The 17,878-nt window shown below is 51.7% G+C and overlaps 1 protein-coding gene and 1 long non-coding RNA gene across 29 annotated transcripts in view, besides 4 other annotated features; one reads left to right on the top strand and one right to left on the bottom strand.

The window, feature by feature from the left end:
• GATAD2A (GATA zinc finger domain containing 2A) overlaps window positions 1-2,674 on the bottom strand; it is a 123,090-nt gene extending 120,416 nt beyond the window's left edge. For all 28 annotated transcript variants that reach the window (NR_169268.1, NM_001384514.1, NM_001384512.1 and 25 more), the window contains exon 1: window positions 2,379-2,674. The gene's annotated coding sequence lies outside the window, so the exon portion shown is untranslated. The remainder of the gene's footprint in view (window positions 1-2,378) is intronic.
• Window positions 2,380-17,878, top strand: part of LOC124904656 (uncharacterized) — a 27,427-nt gene continuing 11,928 nt past the window's right edge. The window contains exon 1 of the long non-coding RNA XR_007067163.1: window positions 2,380-2,860. This is a non-coding gene — a long non-coding RNA (uncharacterized LOC124904656). The remainder of the gene's footprint in view (window positions 2,861-17,878) is intronic.
• Window positions 2,451-2,590: a silencer, noted in NCBI's record as "silent region_10440". NCBI's record gives its function as "represses an Ori minimal core promoter by ATAC-STARR-seq in GM12878 lymphoblastoid cells {active_cell/tissue: GM12878}" and the evidence as "EXISTENCE:reporter gene assay evidence [ECO:0000049][PMID:35858748]".
• Window positions 2,931-3,270: a silencer, noted in NCBI's record as "silent region_10439". NCBI's record gives its function as "represses an Ori minimal core promoter by ATAC-STARR-seq in GM12878 lymphoblastoid cells {active_cell/tissue: GM12878}" and the evidence as "EXISTENCE:reporter gene assay evidence [ECO:0000049][PMID:35858748]".
• Window positions 9,510-10,155: an enhancer, noted in NCBI's record as "H3K27ac-H3K4me1 hESC enhancer chr19:19489171-19489816 (GRCh37/hg19 assembly coordinates)". NCBI's record gives its function as "activates a minimal SCP1, AML or CMV promoter by ChIP-STARR-seq in naive H9 embryonic stem cells {active_cell/tissue: H9 hESC(naive)}" and the evidence as "EXISTENCE:reporter gene assay evidence [ECO:0000049][PMID:30033119]".
• Window positions 16,454-17,653: an enhancer, noted in NCBI's record as "MED14-independent group 3 enhancer chr19:19481673-19482872 (GRCh37/hg19 assembly coordinates)". NCBI's record gives its function as "activates an origin of replication core promoter dependent on BRD2, BRD4, P300/CBP and CDK7 cofactors, and independent of MED14, by STARR-seq in HCT116 cells {active_cell/tissue: HCT116}" and the evidence as "EXISTENCE:reporter gene assay evidence [ECO:0000049][PMID:35650434]".

The following is a 17,878-nucleotide window of genomic DNA, read 5'->3' as shown; positions in this document are numbered from 1 at the left end:
CCCCTCCAGCCACAAAATCCTCCAGGCTCCTGGAAACCGAAATAAAAGTCCAGAGAATACCCCTAGAGTGGCAACAAAGACTGAAGGAGGGGTACATTTCTGCTCTCTTCCTCCACAGTTGGGGGAAAGTGGGTGCCACAGACAGAAAGAGGAGAAGCTTGGCCGGGCGCGGTGGTTCACGCCTGTAATCCCAGCACTTTGGGAGGCCGAGGCCGGCGGATCACCTGAGGTTGGGAGTTCGAGACCACCCTGACCCACATGGAGAAACCCCATCTCTACTAAAAATACAAAATTAGCCAGGTGTGGTGGCACATGCCTGTAATCCCAGCTGCTCAGGAGGCTGAGGCAGGAGAATTGCTTGAACCCAGGAGGCGGAGGTTGCGGTGAGCCAGAGATCACACCATTGCACTCCAGCCTAGGCAACAAGAGCGAAACTCCATCTCCAAAAAAAAAAAAAAGGAGGAGAAGCTTGATGTGAGTGCTCCAAGGATAAATAAAGAGTTTCTCCCTTAGAAAATCAAGAGGAAAGCCTCTAGAAAGAGGGCAAGTGGGAGGCAACCCCACGGAATTCAGAGGGACCCCTCAGGGAAGTGAAGAAGATCCACAGTGTCTCCCATCGGGAGACGGGATATCTTGGAAAAGGGGAGACACACTTCAGAGATGTGAGGAGCCTACAGGAGTGGGATATCTCAAGTTAAGGGGAAAACCTCTGGAGAAACTGGGGACCCCTCAGAAAACTGCAGGATCCATAGAGCATTTGGGGGCCCAGAAGAAATAGAAAAGAAGGATACTGGTAAAGTAGGGGTATACCTCAGAAAACTAACGATCCAGTCAGATGGGCATTTCAAAGAAGTGGGGGACCCCCTCAGGAAAGTGAAGGCACTCATCAAAAAGCGGGGGCCAGGCACGGTGGCTCACACCTGTAATCCCAACACTGTGGGAGGCCGAGGCGGGTGGATCACCTGAGCTCAGAAGTTCGAGACCAGCCTGGCCAACATGATGAAACCCCCTCTCTACAAAAATACAAAAATTAGCCAGGCATGGTGGTGGGTGCCTGTAGTCCCAGCTACTCAGGAAGCTGAGGCAGAAGAGTCGCTTGAACCCAGGAGGCAGAGGTTACAGTGAGCCCAGATCGCACCACTGCACTCCAGCCTGGGAGACGGAATGAGACTCTGTCTCAAAAAAAAAAAGAAAGGGGGACAAGTCAGAAAAGTAGGACCACAGCTGAGAGAGGTGGGGGTGGGGAGATCCCCACAGAGAGGCAAGGCTTCCTCCGAGAAGCAGCAATGTCTTCTGAAAAGAGGGGTCCCCCGGGGAAGAAGGGGTTCCCCAGGGGTCCACAAAAGGTGGGGGATCCCTCAGAGAAAGTACACCCTGATAGAATCAGGGGTCTCTCCTTAGAGGAGTGAGGATAGGGTCTTAGAGAGGCCAGGGCCCCTCAAAGAAAGCGGGGGACCCTCAGAGAGGCAGAGGGTCTCTCAGAGAGATGGGGATTCCCCTCAAAGAGGCAGGGGTCCCTCAGAGAAAGGGACTCCCCTCAGAGGCGGGGGTCCTCAGATAGGAAGGGGTCTCTAGGGAGGCAGGGGTCCCTCAAAAGGATGGGTTCCTGAGAAAAGTAGAGGGACCCTCAGTGAAGAAGGGAGTCCCCTCAGATAAGCGGGAATTCTCAAAGAGTTGGGGATCCCCAAAGAAGGGAGTTAGTTCCTGTCAAAGGCAGGATTCCTCAGAGAGGTGGGGGTTCCCTCCGGCAGGGGTCCTCAGAGAGGCGGGGGAGCCCCTGATAAGAGGGGTTGTCCCCTCAGAGAAGCAGGGTCGCCTAGAGAGACAGGGCTCCCCTCGGAGAGACGGGGGTTCCCTAGAGACGAGGTCCCCTAGAGAGACGGGGTCCCCTAGAGAGGTGGGGATCCTCTAGAAAGGCACGGATCCTCTAGAGAGGCAGCGTTCCCCTAGAGAAGCGGGGTCCCCTGCCTGGAGAGATGGGAGTCCCCTAGAGAGGCAAGGGTCCCCTAGATGGGAAGAAAGTCCCCTAGAAAGGTGGGGGTCGCTAGAAAGATGGGATCCCCTGCCTGGAGAGACGGGGTCCCCAAGAGAGACGGGGTCCCCTAGAGAGGCAAGGGTCTCCTGGAGAGGAGGGAGGCCCCTAGAGAGGCGGGTGTGTCCCCAAGAGAGGCGAGGGTCCCTAAGAGAGACGGGGTCTCCTAGAGAGGCGGGGGTCCCCTGGAGAGGCGGGGGGGCCCAGAGCAGGGGCTCCCCTGAGGGGGAAGTGCTGTGGAGAAGGGAGTAAACTCGGCCAAGGTAGTGCGGGAGAAGCGGAAGCCCCAGAGAGCCTGGGGCACCGGAAACCGGGGACCCGCCAGCGGCGCCTGCCCCTTACTCACCGAAGTTGCTCGGCGCCCTCGCTGACGGCGGCCGACGGCCTCGGGCGGCGCAGTCCGGTCAGGTCTTGTGGCGTCCCGCGGAGGCGACTCCCTCAGGTGGCGCCCGCGGCGGCCGCTGTGGCGGCGGCGGCAGCGGCGACAGGACAGACGACCGACCGACCGACTGCGCGGGCGGCGCGGGGCGCGCTCGGGCGGCGGGGGTGCGCGTGCGCGCGCCGGGGCGCTGACCCTGGGCGGGAGGAGCCGCCGCGCAGCGCTCGGAGCCGCAGCTCAGTCTCGCGGCTCAGTCTCACACTGAAATTGCCCGCTTCACAGCCCGGCTTCCCCGGTTGCTAGGCAGATTTCGCCTCGCACACTTCCGGGTTGAGGCGCGTCTCTCCGAGTGAAGGCGCCACAAGCCAATGAGGTCCAGCCAGGACTCCCAGGACCCGCACCCCATGGAAGGTGTGGCCAGCTTCATGACAGACAGCGCATGACGACCAGTGAGTGCGCGGGCCGGCTGGTTCTCGGGATCGCGCCGCCGGCCGGGGCGGGTCCGAGGAGGCGGGACGGAATGACTGACAGGCATCCTGCCAATGGTAGATGGGAGCGGGCCGCAGAGCCACTCAAGGCCATGCGGGGGCGGGACTTAAACTTCGGGGCGGGAACCCCGCGAGGGGCGGGGCCTAGGGGGACGAGTCAATTCGTGGCCGGCTCCCTGGGACCCCGGAGGGCGGATCGCCTGGGCCACCCGGCGGCCGGCAACTGGCTGGGCAGGGGGTTCCCCGCAGTGCTCTGCAGGGGCTCCCCACCCATAATGCACCGGAGGCGGCCTTGGCCAGGCGGGCGTGGGGCAGCTACGACGGGCTGCGAGCGGCGCCTCTGAGGAGCCCGGGCGCTTCGTGGCCTGGCAGTGTTTCTAAGGGGCTCCGGTGGCCGCGCGCTCTTTCTGCCTCGTCTTGTGGCTTCGACCCTCTCTATCCAGGAGAATCTTGGAGATTCTGGCGCGCGCCCCGGTTCTGAGAAGACTCTGCTTCGGGATTCTTTTCCCTGGCCCCCGTTCTGAGGAGGATCTTCGGAAATCTTGCCCCGACCCCTCTTCTGAGAGAGTTTGGGGGTTTCTTGCCCTGCCCGGTTTTCTGAGGACAATTGCCGGGATCACGATTATGTTGTAGATTCGGGACCCCAGCTCTGTTTCCTAAGAAAACATGGGAGTTCGGGATCCCTAAGGAGCATTTGGAGAATCCAGGGTCCACCGCCTTTTCCGAGGAATATTTGGGGCACATACACTCCTTTTCTAAGCACTCTTGGGGGCCGCTCTCCCTGTCCCTCCTTTATCTGAGGAAAGTGAGGGCTGCGCGCCCCCCTCCACCTTCGTTTCTGAAGATATCTTGGGGATTTTCTGCCTCCCCTGTTTTCTCACTACACGAGGAATTTGGGACTTCAAGCACCTCGCCTCTCTCCAGAGAAGGATGGCAGGAGATGGGCGCCCCTCACCCCTTTACTAAGGAAATGCGACCGGGCGCGGTGGCTCACGCCTGGAATCCCAGCACTTTGGAAGGTTGAGACTGGAGGGTCGATTGAGCCCAGGAGTTTCAGACCAGCCTGGGCAACATGGCAAAATCCTGTCTCTACAAAAATTAAAATCAAAATGAAAAAATCAGCAGGGGTGGTGGCGCACACCTGTAGTCCCAGCTACTCCGGAGGCTGAGGTGGGAGGATCGTTTGAACCGAGAGGTCGAGGCTGCAGTGAGCCAAGATCGTGCCACTGCACTCCAGCCTGGGCGACAGAGCGAGACCCTGTCTCAAAAAAAAGAAAAAAGAAAGTTATCGGGCGCGGTGGCTCACGCTTGTATCCCAGCACTTTGGGAAGCCGAGGTGGGCGGATCACCTGAGGTCAGGAGTTCGAGACCAGTCTGGCCAAGATGGTGAAACCCTGTCTTTACTAAAAATACAAAAATTAGCCGGGCGTGGTAGTGGGCGCCTATAGTCCCAGCTACTCGGGAGGCTGAGGCAGGAGAACCGCTTGAACCTGGGAGGCAGGTTGCAGTGCGCCGAGATCCACCACTGCACTCCAGCCTGGATGACAGTGAGACTCCGTCTCAAAAAGAAAGAAAGAAAAAGAAAAATGCGAGGGAGTTGTGCTCCATGTGCTTTTCTAAGCAGCATCTGAGTGTGGGAGGAAGGGGTCCCCTTTTCCTGAAACTTCGACTTTCTGACGCCTCAGCCCTAGGACAATGCGGTGAGTTAGACCTTTTTAGAAAAGCAACCCAGGCCGGGCGCGGTGGTTCACGCCTGTAATCCCAGCATTTTGGGAGGCTGAGGCGGGCGGATCACGAGGCCAAAAGATCGAGACCATCCTGGCTAACACAGTGAAACCCCGTCTCTACTAAAAATACAAAAAATTAGCCAGGTGTGGTGGCGGGCGCCTGTAGTCCAAGCTACTCAGGAGGCTGAGGCAGGAGAATGGCGTGAACTCGGGAGGCGGAGCTTGCAGTGAGCGGAGATGGCGCCACTGCACTCCAGCCTGGGCGACAGAGGGAGACTCCCTCTCAAAAAAAAAAGAAAACGAAAGAAAAGCAGCCCATTTTGCCCCCTTTCCCTTTTTTTTTTTTTTTTTTTGACACAGTCTCACTCTGTTGTGCAGTGGCACTATCTTGCCATCTCCGCCTCCCAGGTTCAAGCCATTCTCCTGCCTCAGCCTCCAGAGCAGCTCGGATTACAGGCATGCGCCACCACACCAAGCTAATTTTTGTATTTTTAGTAGAGACAGGGTTTCACCATGTTGGCCAGGCTGGTCTTGAACTCCTGACCTCAAGTGATCCACCCGCCTCGGCCTCTCAAAGTGCTAGAATTACAGGTGTGAGCCACCGCGCCCAGCCTCCTATTCTTTTTGAGGAGAATTTTTCCATGCAGCTGTCCACTTTTTCCCAAGGGACACATTTGTGGCCCTTCCCAAATGTGTCCCGTTTGCCTCTTCAGCCCTGCAGTTTCCTTCTCTGCTGAGTAAGATCCTTCCAAGAAGCATTCCTGCTTCACAGTCACCCCCAGATAAAATCAGTCACCCCAAACTCTTGAAGAATCACCTGAGCCTGGGAGGTCAAGGCTGCAGTGAGCCATGATCGCACCACTGCACTCCAGCCTAGGTGACACAGTGAGACCCTGTCTTAAAAAAAAAAAGTCACCCCAAACTCTGGGAAGCAAGAGTATTTTTTTTTCTTTTTGTTTGTTGGTTCTTTGAGACAGGATTTTGCTCTGTCACCCAGGCTGGAGTACAGTGGCAAGATCATGATGGAACCTCCATTCCTTGGGCTTAGGTGATCCTCCTGACTCAGCCCCTGAGTAGCTGGTACCGCTAGTGCATGCCACAAGACCTAGGGGTTTTTTTGTTTGTTTTGTTTTGTTTTGTCTTGTGAGATGGAGTCTTGCTCTGTCGCCCAGGCTGGAGTGCAGGGGGGTGATCTTGGCTCACTGCAACCTCCGCCTCCCAGATTCAAGCGATTCTCCTGCTTCAGCCTCCTGAGTAGCTGGGATTACAGGCGCGTGCCACCACGCCTGGGTAATTTTTGTATTTTTAGTAGAGATGGGGTTCCACCATGTTGGCCAGGCTGGTCTCAGACTCCTGACCTCGTGATCTGCCCCCCTCAGCTTCCCAAAGTGCTAGGATTACAGGTGTGAGCCGCCGCGCCTGGCAACCTAAGTTTTTACATTAAAAAAAAAAAATTTAAAACAGAAGGTCTCCTTCTGTTGCCTGGGCTGGTCTCAAACTCCTGGCATCAAGCAATTCTCCCGCCTCAGCCTCCCAGTGTGGCCGAATTACCTTCCAATGCGCTAGAATTACAGGTGTGAGTCACCGTGCCCAGCCCCAACTGTGTTTGCACCGCTGCTAAAGCATGAAGCATGTACTGTGGCCTACCAGGGATCAGGGCCTTCACTTGTGTCTTCCCCCTTCACTTGATTCTGAACTTCTTGCCTCATTTCCCCTCCAAAGAACCCAGCTTTGTCCTTAGTAGGCAATCCCATTGAATGAAAGGAGTGAAGATGGCAGTAATGAATGAGAAAGACCTGCAACACTGATGATTCAATATGGCAAACTTCTTTTTTTTTTTATTTGAGATGGAGTCTTTCTCTGTTGCCCAGGCTGGAGTGCAGTGGCACGATCTCGGCTCACTGCAACCTCCGCCTCCCAGGTTCAAGCAATTCTCCTGCCTCAGCCTCCTGAGTAGCTGGGATTACAGGCACACACCACAATGCCCGGCTAATTTTTTTGTATTTTTAGTAGAGATGGGGTTTCACCATATTGGCCAGGCTGGTCTTGAACTTCTGACCTCAAGTGATCCGCCCACCTCGACCTCCCAAAGTGCTCGGATTGCAGGCGTGAGCCAGCAGGCCCAGCCGGCAAACTTTTTCGAAGAGACAGGGTCTTGCTATGTTGCCCAGGCTGGACTCAAACTCCTGAGCTCAAGCAATCCTCCTGCCTCAACCTCCCAAGTAGCTGGTACTGTGGTCGAAGGCTGCTGTGACTGGCATGTCAAACTTTTATTGTGCTTACTTTGTACACAGAAGTGTCCAAGGTGCAAAGATGCCTGAATTATATGCTGGAACTTGTGAGTAAAAATAAATGCAGTAAAGGGAAATAGGCTTGTTATACCAGGCAGAATATTATACTGAAGAGGTACCAAGAAACTGTTGTAGGAATGTAGAGGAGGAAGTGATTAAATGAGATAATGGATGTGAAAGTGCTTTGTAAACCATGAAACAGTATACCCAGTAGAAAAGATGATTATTATTGTTACAAGTGCGCTGATGTTCCTGGAAGAAAAATAAAGAATAAATTCAATCACAATGATGGGAGGTTGGCAGGGAGCCCTGTGGGGCCTGACTCCCTGAGCGAGCTCAACCTGTCCCCAAGTGGCAAGGCTGATAGAGTCCTTGGCTAGGGAAAGAAGCCATTGTAAACATGAAGACAAGCTGTTCCCAGAGCACCTTCTGTGCACCTGTGTCATAGTACTTACCACATCCTGCAAGTGTCTGAGGCAGTCCAGGTGGACAATAAACACTTGGACTTTGGTGGTTGGCAGAGCTGGGGTCGAACCCACACCTGCCAGTCCCTAGAGAGGCCAGTTACTGTCTTTACCATATAAGAAATCAGGGCTCATACCTGCAATTGTACCACTTTGGGAGGCCAGGGTGGGAGAATTGAGCCCAGGAATTTGAGACTCACCTGGGCAACATACCGGGACCCCCTCTCTACAAAAAAATAAAATAAAATTAGTGGCCAGGCACGGTGGCTCATACCGGTAATCCTGACACTTTGGGAGGCCGAGGTGGGTAGATCACCTGAGGTCAGGAGTTTGAGACCAGCCTGACCAACAAGGTGAAACCCCGTCTCTACTAAAAATACAAAAATTAGACGGGGATGGTGCAGGTACCTAAAATCCCAGCTACTCAGGAGGCTGAGGCAGGAGAATTGCTTGAACCCGGGAGGTGGAGGTTGCAGTGAGCCAATATCGTATCATTGCACTTCAGCTCTGGGCGACAGAGCAAGACTATGTCTCAGGAAAAAAAAGAAAGGCTGGGCATGGTGGCTCATGCCTGTAATTCCAACACTTTAGGAAGCCGAGGCGGGCGGATCACCTGAGGTTGGGAATTCAAGACCAGGTTGACTAACATGGAGAAACCCTGTCTCTGCTAAAAATACAAAATTAGCCAAACGTGGTGGCATGTGCCTGTAATCCCACCTACTCGGGAAGCTGGGAATCCCAGCTACCCTGGAGGTTTTAGTGAGCCGAGATCGCGCCATTGCACTCCAGCGTGGGCAACAAGAGTGAAACTCCATCTCAGGAAAAAAAAAGATCCAGCCATAAAATACAAGTGGGATGGCCGGATGTGGTGGCTCACGCCTGTAATCTCAGAACTTTGGGAGCCCGAGGCAGGCGGATCATGAGGTTAGGAGATTGAGACCGTCCTGGTTAACATGGTGAAACCCCATCTCTACTAAAAATACAAAAAATTAGCCAGGCGTCCTGGCACATGCCTGTAGTCCCAGCTACTCCGGAGGCTGAGGCAGGAGAATCGCTTGAACCTGGGAGGCAGAGGTTGCAGTGAGCCAAGATCGCACCCCTGCACTCCAGCCTGGGCAACAGAGAGAGACTCCGTATCAAAAACAAACAAACAAACAAACAAAAAAACAAACAAGTGGGATGTGGATGAGTTACAGTTGCCCTCTGTGCTGCTCAGTTTCTCATGTATGAAGTGAAGAGGCTGGACAATGAGCTGCTCTTTGATCCTGGTTCAATTCAACAACTATAAAGTAAAGTCATGTGCAGAGCACTGAGGGATTACTTAAATGAATAAGGTTAAATTCCTGCTCTCAGAAAGAATCCCAGAGACTGGAATGAAACTGAAATTTTCTGTGTTCTACTGTGTACCAGGCACTGTGGACACTTTGAGCTCACAATTCTCAGTGCAATCCTTAGAGACTGATGTTCTGATTTGTTTTTTTTTTTTTTTTTTTGGAAACAGAATATCATTCTGTTGCCCAGGCTGGAGTGCAGTGTCATGTCTCAGCTCACTGCATTCTCTGTCTCCCAGGTTCAGGCGATTCTCGTGCCTCAGCCTCTCAAGCAGCTGGGACTACAGGCACATGCCACCACACCCGGCTAATTATTATTATTATTTTTTTTTTTGAGACGGAGTTTCGCTCTTGTTGCCCAGGCTGGAGTACAATGTCGCAATCTCAGCTCACTGCAACCTCTGCCTCCCAGGTTCAAGCGATTCTTCTGCCTCAGCCTCCCGAGTAGCTGTGATTACAGACACTCGCCACCACACCCAGATAATTTTTTGTACTTTTAGTAGAGATGAGGTTTCATCATGTTGGCCAGGCTGGTCTTGAACTCCTGACCTCATGATCTGCCTGCCTCAGCCTCCCAAAGTGCTGGGATTACAGGTGTGAGCCACCACGCCCGACCTTTTTGTTTTTTTGAGTCGCAGTCTCTCACTATCACCCAGGCTGGAGTGCAATCATGTGCTCTCGGCTCACTGCAGCCTCTGCTTCCCAGGTTAAAACGATTCTCTTGCCTCAGCCTCCTTAGTAGCTGGGATTACAGGCATGAACCTAATTTTTGTATTTTTAGTAGAGACGGGGTTTCCCAATGTTGGCCAAGCTAGTCTTGAACTCGTGACCTCGTGATCCGCCTGCCTTGGCCTTCCAAAGTGCTGGGATTACAGGCGTGAGCCACTGCACTCATATTAACATATTAAGTTTTAGGTTCTTAATATGGTTCCGCTTTGCACAAGGACTCAACAGGGCTTAGACCTCGCCTCCCTTCATGTCACCATTCCTGCACATGGGCCCAATTTTAGATTCAGACAATACAAGTTTAGGATTCAGCTGTAAGTGGCCGGGTGCAGGGCCTCATGCCTGTAATCCCAGCACTTTGAGAGGCCGAGGCAGATGGATCACCTGAGGTCAGGAGCTCAAGACCAGCCTGGCCAACATGATGAAACCCCATCTCCACTAAAAATACAAAAATTAGCCAGGCATCTGCCGGGCGCGGTGGCTCATGCCTATAATCCTAGCACTTTGGGAGGCCGAGGCGGGCGGATCACAAGGTCAGGAGATCGAGACCATCCTGGCTAACATAGTGAAACCCCGTCTTTACTAAAACTACAAAAAATTAGCCGGGCGTGGTGTCGGGCGCCTGTAGTCCCAGCTACTCAGGAGGCTGAGGCAGGAGAATGGGGTGAACCCAGGAGGCGGAGCTTGCAGTGAGCCGAGATGGCGCCACTGCACTCCAGCTTGGGCGACAGACCCAGACTCCGTCTCAAAACAAACAAAAAATTAGCTGGGCGTGGTGGCAGGCACCTGTAATCCCAGCTACTCAGGAGATTGAGGCAGGAGAATCACTAGAACCCGGGAGAAGGAGGTTGCAGTGAGCCGAGATCGCACCATTGCACTCCAGCCTGGGCGACAAGAGCAAAACTCCTTCTCAAAAACAAACCAAACAGACCAAACAACCTACAAGAACAACAACAACAAAAAAAAAAAAGAAAGAAAGAAGAAAGAGATACCACGTGACAGAATCGCCAAGGATGTGCCTTCTTTTCCTTGGTGGTAGCCGTGATTGCATCTCTGCACCAAGGCGTTTCCCTTCCTGGCTCTGGGAAATCATGTGGGCAAACTGGCTAAGTGACATTCACATCCAAATAGGGAAATGGGAACGGAGCCAGGCCACTCCACAAGAGACAAGGGAGGCGGAGCCTCAGTGGTAGCTAGAAAAGTGAGGGTTCCCTGGTGCTAGCCTGTGAGACCTCCTGTTGATGCTGTACCCTTGGACAAAGGAAGCAGTGCCCACTGGCAATGAGGAATGATGGCTAATTAATACCAGTGGGAAGGGTAATAAGCAGAAGAGCTAAAGCACTCTGGTGTCAATGACAGTGGCGGTTCAGGTGCACAAAGCAAGGTGCCCTCCATCATTACCCCCTAAGATTATTGGACTGCATAATTCATTTGGGGCTGGGTGCAGCTACTCACACCTGTAATCCTAGCACTTTAAAATTGCTTGAGCCTGGGAGTTCGAGACCAGCCTGGGCAACATGGTGAGACTTTGTCTCCACAAAAAATAAAAAATTTAGCTGGGCGTGGTGGTGCATGTCTGTAGTCTCAGCTATTCAGGAGGCTGAGGCAGGGAGATCACGTGAGTCCAGGAATTTGAGGCTGCAGTGAGCTATGATAGTGCCACTACACTCCAGCCTGGCCAGAGTGAGACCCTGTCCCCCCATACCCCAAAAAAGAAAACATATTTATTTGGATTTGCCAAGCACTTTCAGGTTCACATATGTTAACTGTTAATCCATTACAACCTGCATCCTTTGGGAAGCCCATCAGAATTGGTCTTGGTTCTTCCAGGGAAAATGTGTTGAAAAAGTCAGTGTCTAGGCAGGATGCGGTGGCTTACGCCTGTAACCCCAGCACTTTGAGAGGCTGAGGCCGGCAGATCATTAGGTCAAGAGATTGAGACCATCCTGGCCAACATAGTGAAAACTGTCTCTACTAAAAATACAAAAATTGGCCGGGCACGGTGGCTCATGCTTGTAATCCCAGCACTTTGGGAGGCTGAGGTGGGCCTATCACCTGAGGTCGGGAGTTCAAGATCAGCCTGACCAACATGGAGAAACCCTGTCTCTATTAAAAAAATATATATAAAATTAGCCGGGCATGGTGGCACTTGCCTATAATCCCAGCTACACGGGAGGCTGAGGCAGGAGAATCGCTTGAACCCGGGAGGCAGAGGTTGCAATGAGCGGAGATCACGCCATTGCACTCCTAGCCTGGGCAACAAGAGCAAAACGCAAAACTTCGTCTCAAAAAAAAAAAAAAGTAGCTGGTCTTGGCGCGTGCCTGTAGTCCCAGCTACTTGGGAGGCTGAGGCAGGAGAATCACTTGAAACCAGGAGGCAGAGGTTGCCGTGAGCCGAGATCGCACCACTGCACTGCAGCCTGGCAACAGAGCAAAACTCCGCCTCAGGAAAAAAAAAAAAAAAAAAAAAAAAAAAAATATATATATATATATATATATATATATATATATATCTAATGTTACAGATTCTGGTTTATTGGCTAATTACTATACATTTTTTCAGTTTAAAAAAATAATCTTGGGTCGGGAGCGGTGGCTCACGCCTGTAATCCCAGCACTGTGGGAGGCTGAGGCGGGCGGATCATGAGGTCAGGAGATCGAGACCATCCTGACTAACACGGTGAAACCCCATCTCTACTAAAAATACAAAAAAAGAGTTAGCAGAGCGTGGTGGCGGGGGCCTGTAGTCCCAGCTACTCCAGAGGCTGAGGCAGGAGAATGGTGCGAACCGGAGAGGCGGAGCTTGCAGTGAGCTGAGATTGCGCCACTGCACTCCAGCCTGGGCTACAGAGCAAGACTCTGTCTCAAAAAAAAAAAAAGAAAAGAAAAAAAATCTTATTTTATATACGTCTCTCAGTATAATTTTTTTCATGACATTTCAGCGTGTTGATGATATGTTTATGTGTGCCTCATTTCGGTGCCTTAAAGTACTTTGAGACCAATATTTTGATAACAGTTAAAGAACTGTTAAGAATGAGATACTCTCTGGGAGCAGTGGCTCACGCCTGTAATCCCTCCACTTTGGGAGGCCGAAGCAGGCGCATCACCTGAGGTCAGGATTTCTAGACCAGCCTGCCAACATGGCGAAACCCTGTCTCTACTAAAAATACAAAAATTACGGGCGCCTGTAGTCCCAGCTACTTGGGAGGCTGAGGCAGGAGAATGGCGTGAACCTGGCAAGGTGGAACTTGCAGTGAGCCAAGATTGAGCCACTGCATCCAGCCTGGGAGACAGCGAGACTCCGTCTCAGTAAATAAATAAATAAATAAATAAATAAATAAATAAATAAAACAAAAATTAGCCAGGAGCGGTGGCAGGCGCCTGTAATCCCAGCTACTCAGGAGGCTGAGGCAGGAGAATCACTTGAACCTGGGAGGCAGAGGTTGCAGTGAGCCAAGAGTGTGCCATTACACTCCAGCCTGGGCGATAGAGTGAGACTCTGTCTCAAAAACAAGAAAAAAAAAAGAAAAAGTCATTGTCTATTTCCAGAGAGAAACAGACACAGCCAAACCAACAGGTTGGCCTAAATACTCCTGCTGCTTCACCAGAGAAAGTCAGGTAGCACCTGAATTATACAGAGGTGGGGAGCAGAGTATAGCTTTATTAGTGTTGGTTGGCTAGAAAATCTGGAATTAAGTCCAGATGGAGCTCAGGAACTCTTTCAGCCAGGCCTTTTTAGATCTCTAGGTCAAAAACCTAACAGCAAATCTTCTTGTAATTAAGTGGGATTAGACCCTTTTCTGAGGCAAAAGGTATTAGGTAGACACTAGACGCCTGAAGTATAGAAGACTTCTAAGTCAAAACAGTGACTTCCCTAACCAGGAAGGAATGCATTTCTGAACTGGAGGGAGTTCATTTTGGGCACTTGTGGCCACTTTGCATACAGAAGGGAGGAGCCCAACCCAGTGTTAGATGGGAAAAAGATGCCTTATGCTACTCAGGGAAAAGAATTCACCTTGAGATTCTGTAGGATCTGAGCTCTTTTGCATCCCAGACACACAGTTACATCTGAGTGTAACTGAGCCTAAAATACAGGTCAGGGCTTTCATCCACATGCATTTCAAGCCTTTCTCTTGGCTTCTTTTCCCCTCTTTTTGCCTTTTCTTCCTTTCTTTCTGATTTTAGAGACAGGGTCTTGCTCTGTTGCTGAGGCTGGAGTGCAGTGGCATGATCACAGCTCACTGCAGCCTCAACCTCCCCAGCTCAAGCGATCCTCCCACCTCAGCCTCCCGAATACCTGGGACTGCAGGTGCAGGCCACCACGCCTAGCTAATTTTTAAGTTTTTTTGTAGAGATGGGAGTCTTATTATGTTCGCCAGGCTGCCCTTGAACTCCTGGGCCCAAGCAATCCTCTCACCTCGGCTTCCCAAAATGTTGGGATTACAAGCGTGAGCCACCACACTCAGCCAACTTTATTATTATTATTTTTTAAAGAGATGAGGTCTCGGCCAGGCACGGTGGCTCACGCCTGTAATCCCAGCACTTTGGGAGGTCGAGGTGGGCAGATCACGAGATCAGGAGATTGAGACCATCCTGGCTAACATGGTGAAACCCTGTCTCTACTAAAAATACAAAAAATTAGCCGGGCGTGGTGGAGGGCGCCTGTAGTCCCAGCTACTTGGGAGGCTGAGGCAGGAGAAAGGCATGAACCCAGGAGGCGGAGCTTGCAGTGAGCCAAGATGGCACTACTGCACTCCAGCCTGGGCGACAGAGTAAGACTCCGTCTCAAAAAAAAAAAAAAAAAAAAAAAAAAGAGATGAGGTCTCATTATGTTGCTAGTCTCACTTTGAACTCCTGGGCTTCAAGCTAGCCTCCTATATCAGCCTCCCAAGTCACTGGAACTACAGGTGTGTGACTACACCCAGCTGAGCCCTTTTTAAGATCCAGGTCTCAGGCCGGGAGTGGTGGCTCACGCCTGTAATCCCAGCACTTTGGGAGGCCGAGGCAGGCAGATTACGAGGTCAGGAGTTCAAGACCGGCCTGGCCAACATAGCGAAACCCTGTCTCTACTAAAAATACACAAATTAGCTGGGCATGGTGGCGGGCGCCTGTAGTCCCAGCTACTTGGGAGGCTGAAGCAGGAGAATCGCTTGAACCTGGAAGGCGGAGGTTGCAGTGAGCCAAGATCACCCCACTGCACTCCAGCCTGGGCGACGGAGCAAGACTCTATCTCACCAAAAAAAAAAAAAAAAAAATCCAGGTCTCAGTGCCAGGCGCGTTGGTGGCACGCACCCATAGTCCTAACTACTTGGGAGGCTGAGACAGAAGATCACTTGAGGAGTTTTAAGGCTGCAGTGAGCCAAGATTATGCCACTGCACTCCAGCCTGGGTGACAGAGCAAGACCTTGTGTCTAAAAAGCAAGGGGGTGGCCAGGCACGGTGGCTCACGCCTGTAATCCCAGCACTTTGGGAGGCCGAGGCAGGTGGATCATGAGGTCAGGAGTTTGAGACCAGCCTCACCAACATGGTGAAAACCCTGTCTCTACTAAAAATACAAAAATTAGCTGGGGGTGGTGGTGCATGCCTGTAATCCCAGCTGTTTGGGAGGCTGAGGCAGGAGAATCGCTTGAGCCTGGGAGGTGGAGGTTGCAGTGAGCCGAGATCACGCCACTGCACTCTAGCCTGGGCAAAAAGACCAAGACTCCATTTCAAAGAAAAAGAAAAGGAGGCGGAGTGGGGTGGGGCCTCAGCTTGTGGACAGGCATTATGGTCACAGGAGCTACTCTTGTCCTTCCTGAGTTGGGACTGAGCACAGCAGCCCAGCCAGCTGGTAGGAGGGAGTGGCTGATCACTTGGGCCTGGGAGGAGTCAGGAGTTTATTCTGACCGGAAGAGGAAATGACTGTTTCGCAAAGTGCACTGAGCTTTGAGCTTTTTTTACCCCGCTGGTAAAATTATTTGTTTGAACTTCATCAGCTTCCTTTATTCAAGGATGTCATTGAGCATCTAGGGTGGCCACATTTAGCAAGTGAAAATATAGGATGCCCCATTAGATTTGGATTTCAGATCAGTCACGAATGAATACCCTTTTAGTATAAGTGTATCCCAAAGCATCTTCCATGTGCCAGGAGTCAGTCTGGGTTTGGATAATCCACTTAATACACAGACTGGTGCCTTCCAAGGAACTGGTCAAACACGAAGGTCAGAGTCTTTTGTGGCTTGGGAGACACAAACAGGCTGCAAAATCCACTTCAAAATCCACTTCCAGGTCAGGCACAGTAGCTCATGCCTGTAACCCCCCAACAATTTGGGAGGCTGAGGCAGGAGGATCGCTTGAGGCCAGGAGTTTGAGACCAGCCTGGGCAACAAAGCAAGACTCCATCTGTACAAAAAATAATTTAAAAATTGGCTGGACATGGTGGCTTACCCCTGTAATCCCAGCACTTTGGGAGGCTAAGGTAGATGGATCATTTGAGGACAGGAGTTTAAGACCAACCTGACCAACATGGCAAAACTCCATTTCTACTAAAAATATTAATACAAAAATTAGCCAGGCGTGGTGGCATGTGTCTGCAATCCCAGATACTCTGGAGGCTGAGGCAGGAGAATCACTTGAATCTGGGATGGGGAGTTGCAATGAGCAGAGATCACACCACTACACTCCAGCCTGGGTGACAGAGTGAGACTCTGTCTCAAAATTAATTAATTAATTAATTAAAAACTGTCTAAGTGTGGTGGTGTGCATTTGCAGTCCTAACTACTCTGGAGGCTGAGACTGGAGGATCCCTTGAGCCCAGGAAGCCGAGGCTGCAGTAGGCTACAATTGTGCCACTGCACTCCAGCCTGGGTGACAGAGCAAAACCCTTTCTCTAAAAAAAAAGAGTTAAAAATGTTGCTGGGCACGGTGGCTTATGCCTGTAATCCCAGCCTTTTGAGAGGCTGAGGTGGGAGGATCGCTTGAGCCCAGGAGTTTGAGAACTGCCTGGGCAACATAGTGAGACCTCATCGCTACCAAAAAAAAAACAAAAACAAAAAAAACTCTACTTTGGCCCCAAATTATGACCCGTGTGGGTGTCCCCAATTCTAGTTAGATGCCCATGTTGTATTGGTCAAAATGCCATTGCCGGACAGGCATAGTGGCTCACGCCTATAATCCCAGCGTTTTGGGAGGCCAGGGCAGGAGGATCACTTGAAGTCAGGAGTTTGAGTCCAGCCTGGCCAACATGGTGAAACCCTGTCTCTACCAAAAATACAAAAATTAGCCAGGTGTGGTGCTGGGTGCCTGTAGTCCCAGCTACTTGGGAGGCTGAGGCAGGAGAATCACATGAGCGTGGGAGGCGGAGGTTGCAGTGAGCCGAGATCGCACCTGTGTACTCCAGCCTGGGCAACAGTATAACAGCGCGAGACTCCATTTCCAAAAATAATAATAATAATAATAATAATAATACCATTGCCATCTCCTGCATCACAGATGATACAGCAAATGTTACCTGGGAAAGCGAAGCTGGATGTTTAGTTTCTTCGGCAGCCAGACACCAGTCCTGACCCTTTACACAGGAGTTAAGAGAAAGTGTCCTTTTCTGAGGTTAGGGATTGGGGCATGTTCAGCACTTGCTGACCGCAGTGGCTTTGAGTACTGAGGTAAGTTTCTTGAAAAAGTTTCTAGCAAGAGATGCTGTGGCCATGGGCTACAGTTCCTGTCACGGGGCTGAGTGTATACAGTCGTGGGATCTGTGTGCAAAGCCCACCCCGGTCTCGTACCCGGCTGACAATGCATGTGGGTGTCCCCACAGCCAGACCAGGCCTGGGTGTGGCCAGCGGACATTCCAGGACACACCCAGGGAAGGAGTGTGTCACAAAGAATGCCCTGAAAAAGAATCCCCTTCAGCGAGGAACAGTGGCTCAGGGCTGGAATCCCAGCACTTTTGGAGGCTGAGGCAGGATTGCTTGAAGCCAGGAGTTCAGGACCAGCGTGGGTAACATAGTGAGACCCTGTCTCAATAAAAAATTAAAATAAGGCTGGGCGTGGTGGCTCACACCTGTAATCCCAGCACTTTGGGAGGCTGAGGCGGGTAGATCACGAGGTCAAGAGTTCTATCTAGACCATCCTGGCCCACATGGTGAAACCCCGTCTCTACTAAAAATACAAAAAAAATTAGCCGGGCTCGGCGGTGAGGGCCTATAGTCCCAGCTACTCAGGAGGCTGAGGCAGGAGAATCACTTGAACCTGGGAGGTGGAGGTTGCAGTGAGCTGAGATTGCGCTGCTGCACTCCAGCCTGGGCGACAGTGAGACTCCGTCTCAAAACAAACAAACAACAACAACAACAAAAATAAATAAATTAATTAAAAAATTAGCTGGGAGTGATGGCACCTGCCTATGGTCCAAGCTACTTGGGAGGTTGAGGAGGGAGGATTGCTTGGGCCTGGGAGTTTGAAGCTC

This window comes from Homo sapiens, chromosome 19 (genome assembly GCF_000001405.40).
Source record: "Homo sapiens chromosome 19, GRCh38.p14 Primary Assembly".
Lineage (NCBI taxonomy): Eukaryota > Metazoa > Chordata > Mammalia > Primates > Hominidae > Homo > Homo sapiens.
This window is presented reverse-complemented; position numbering and strand designations above follow the sequence as displayed.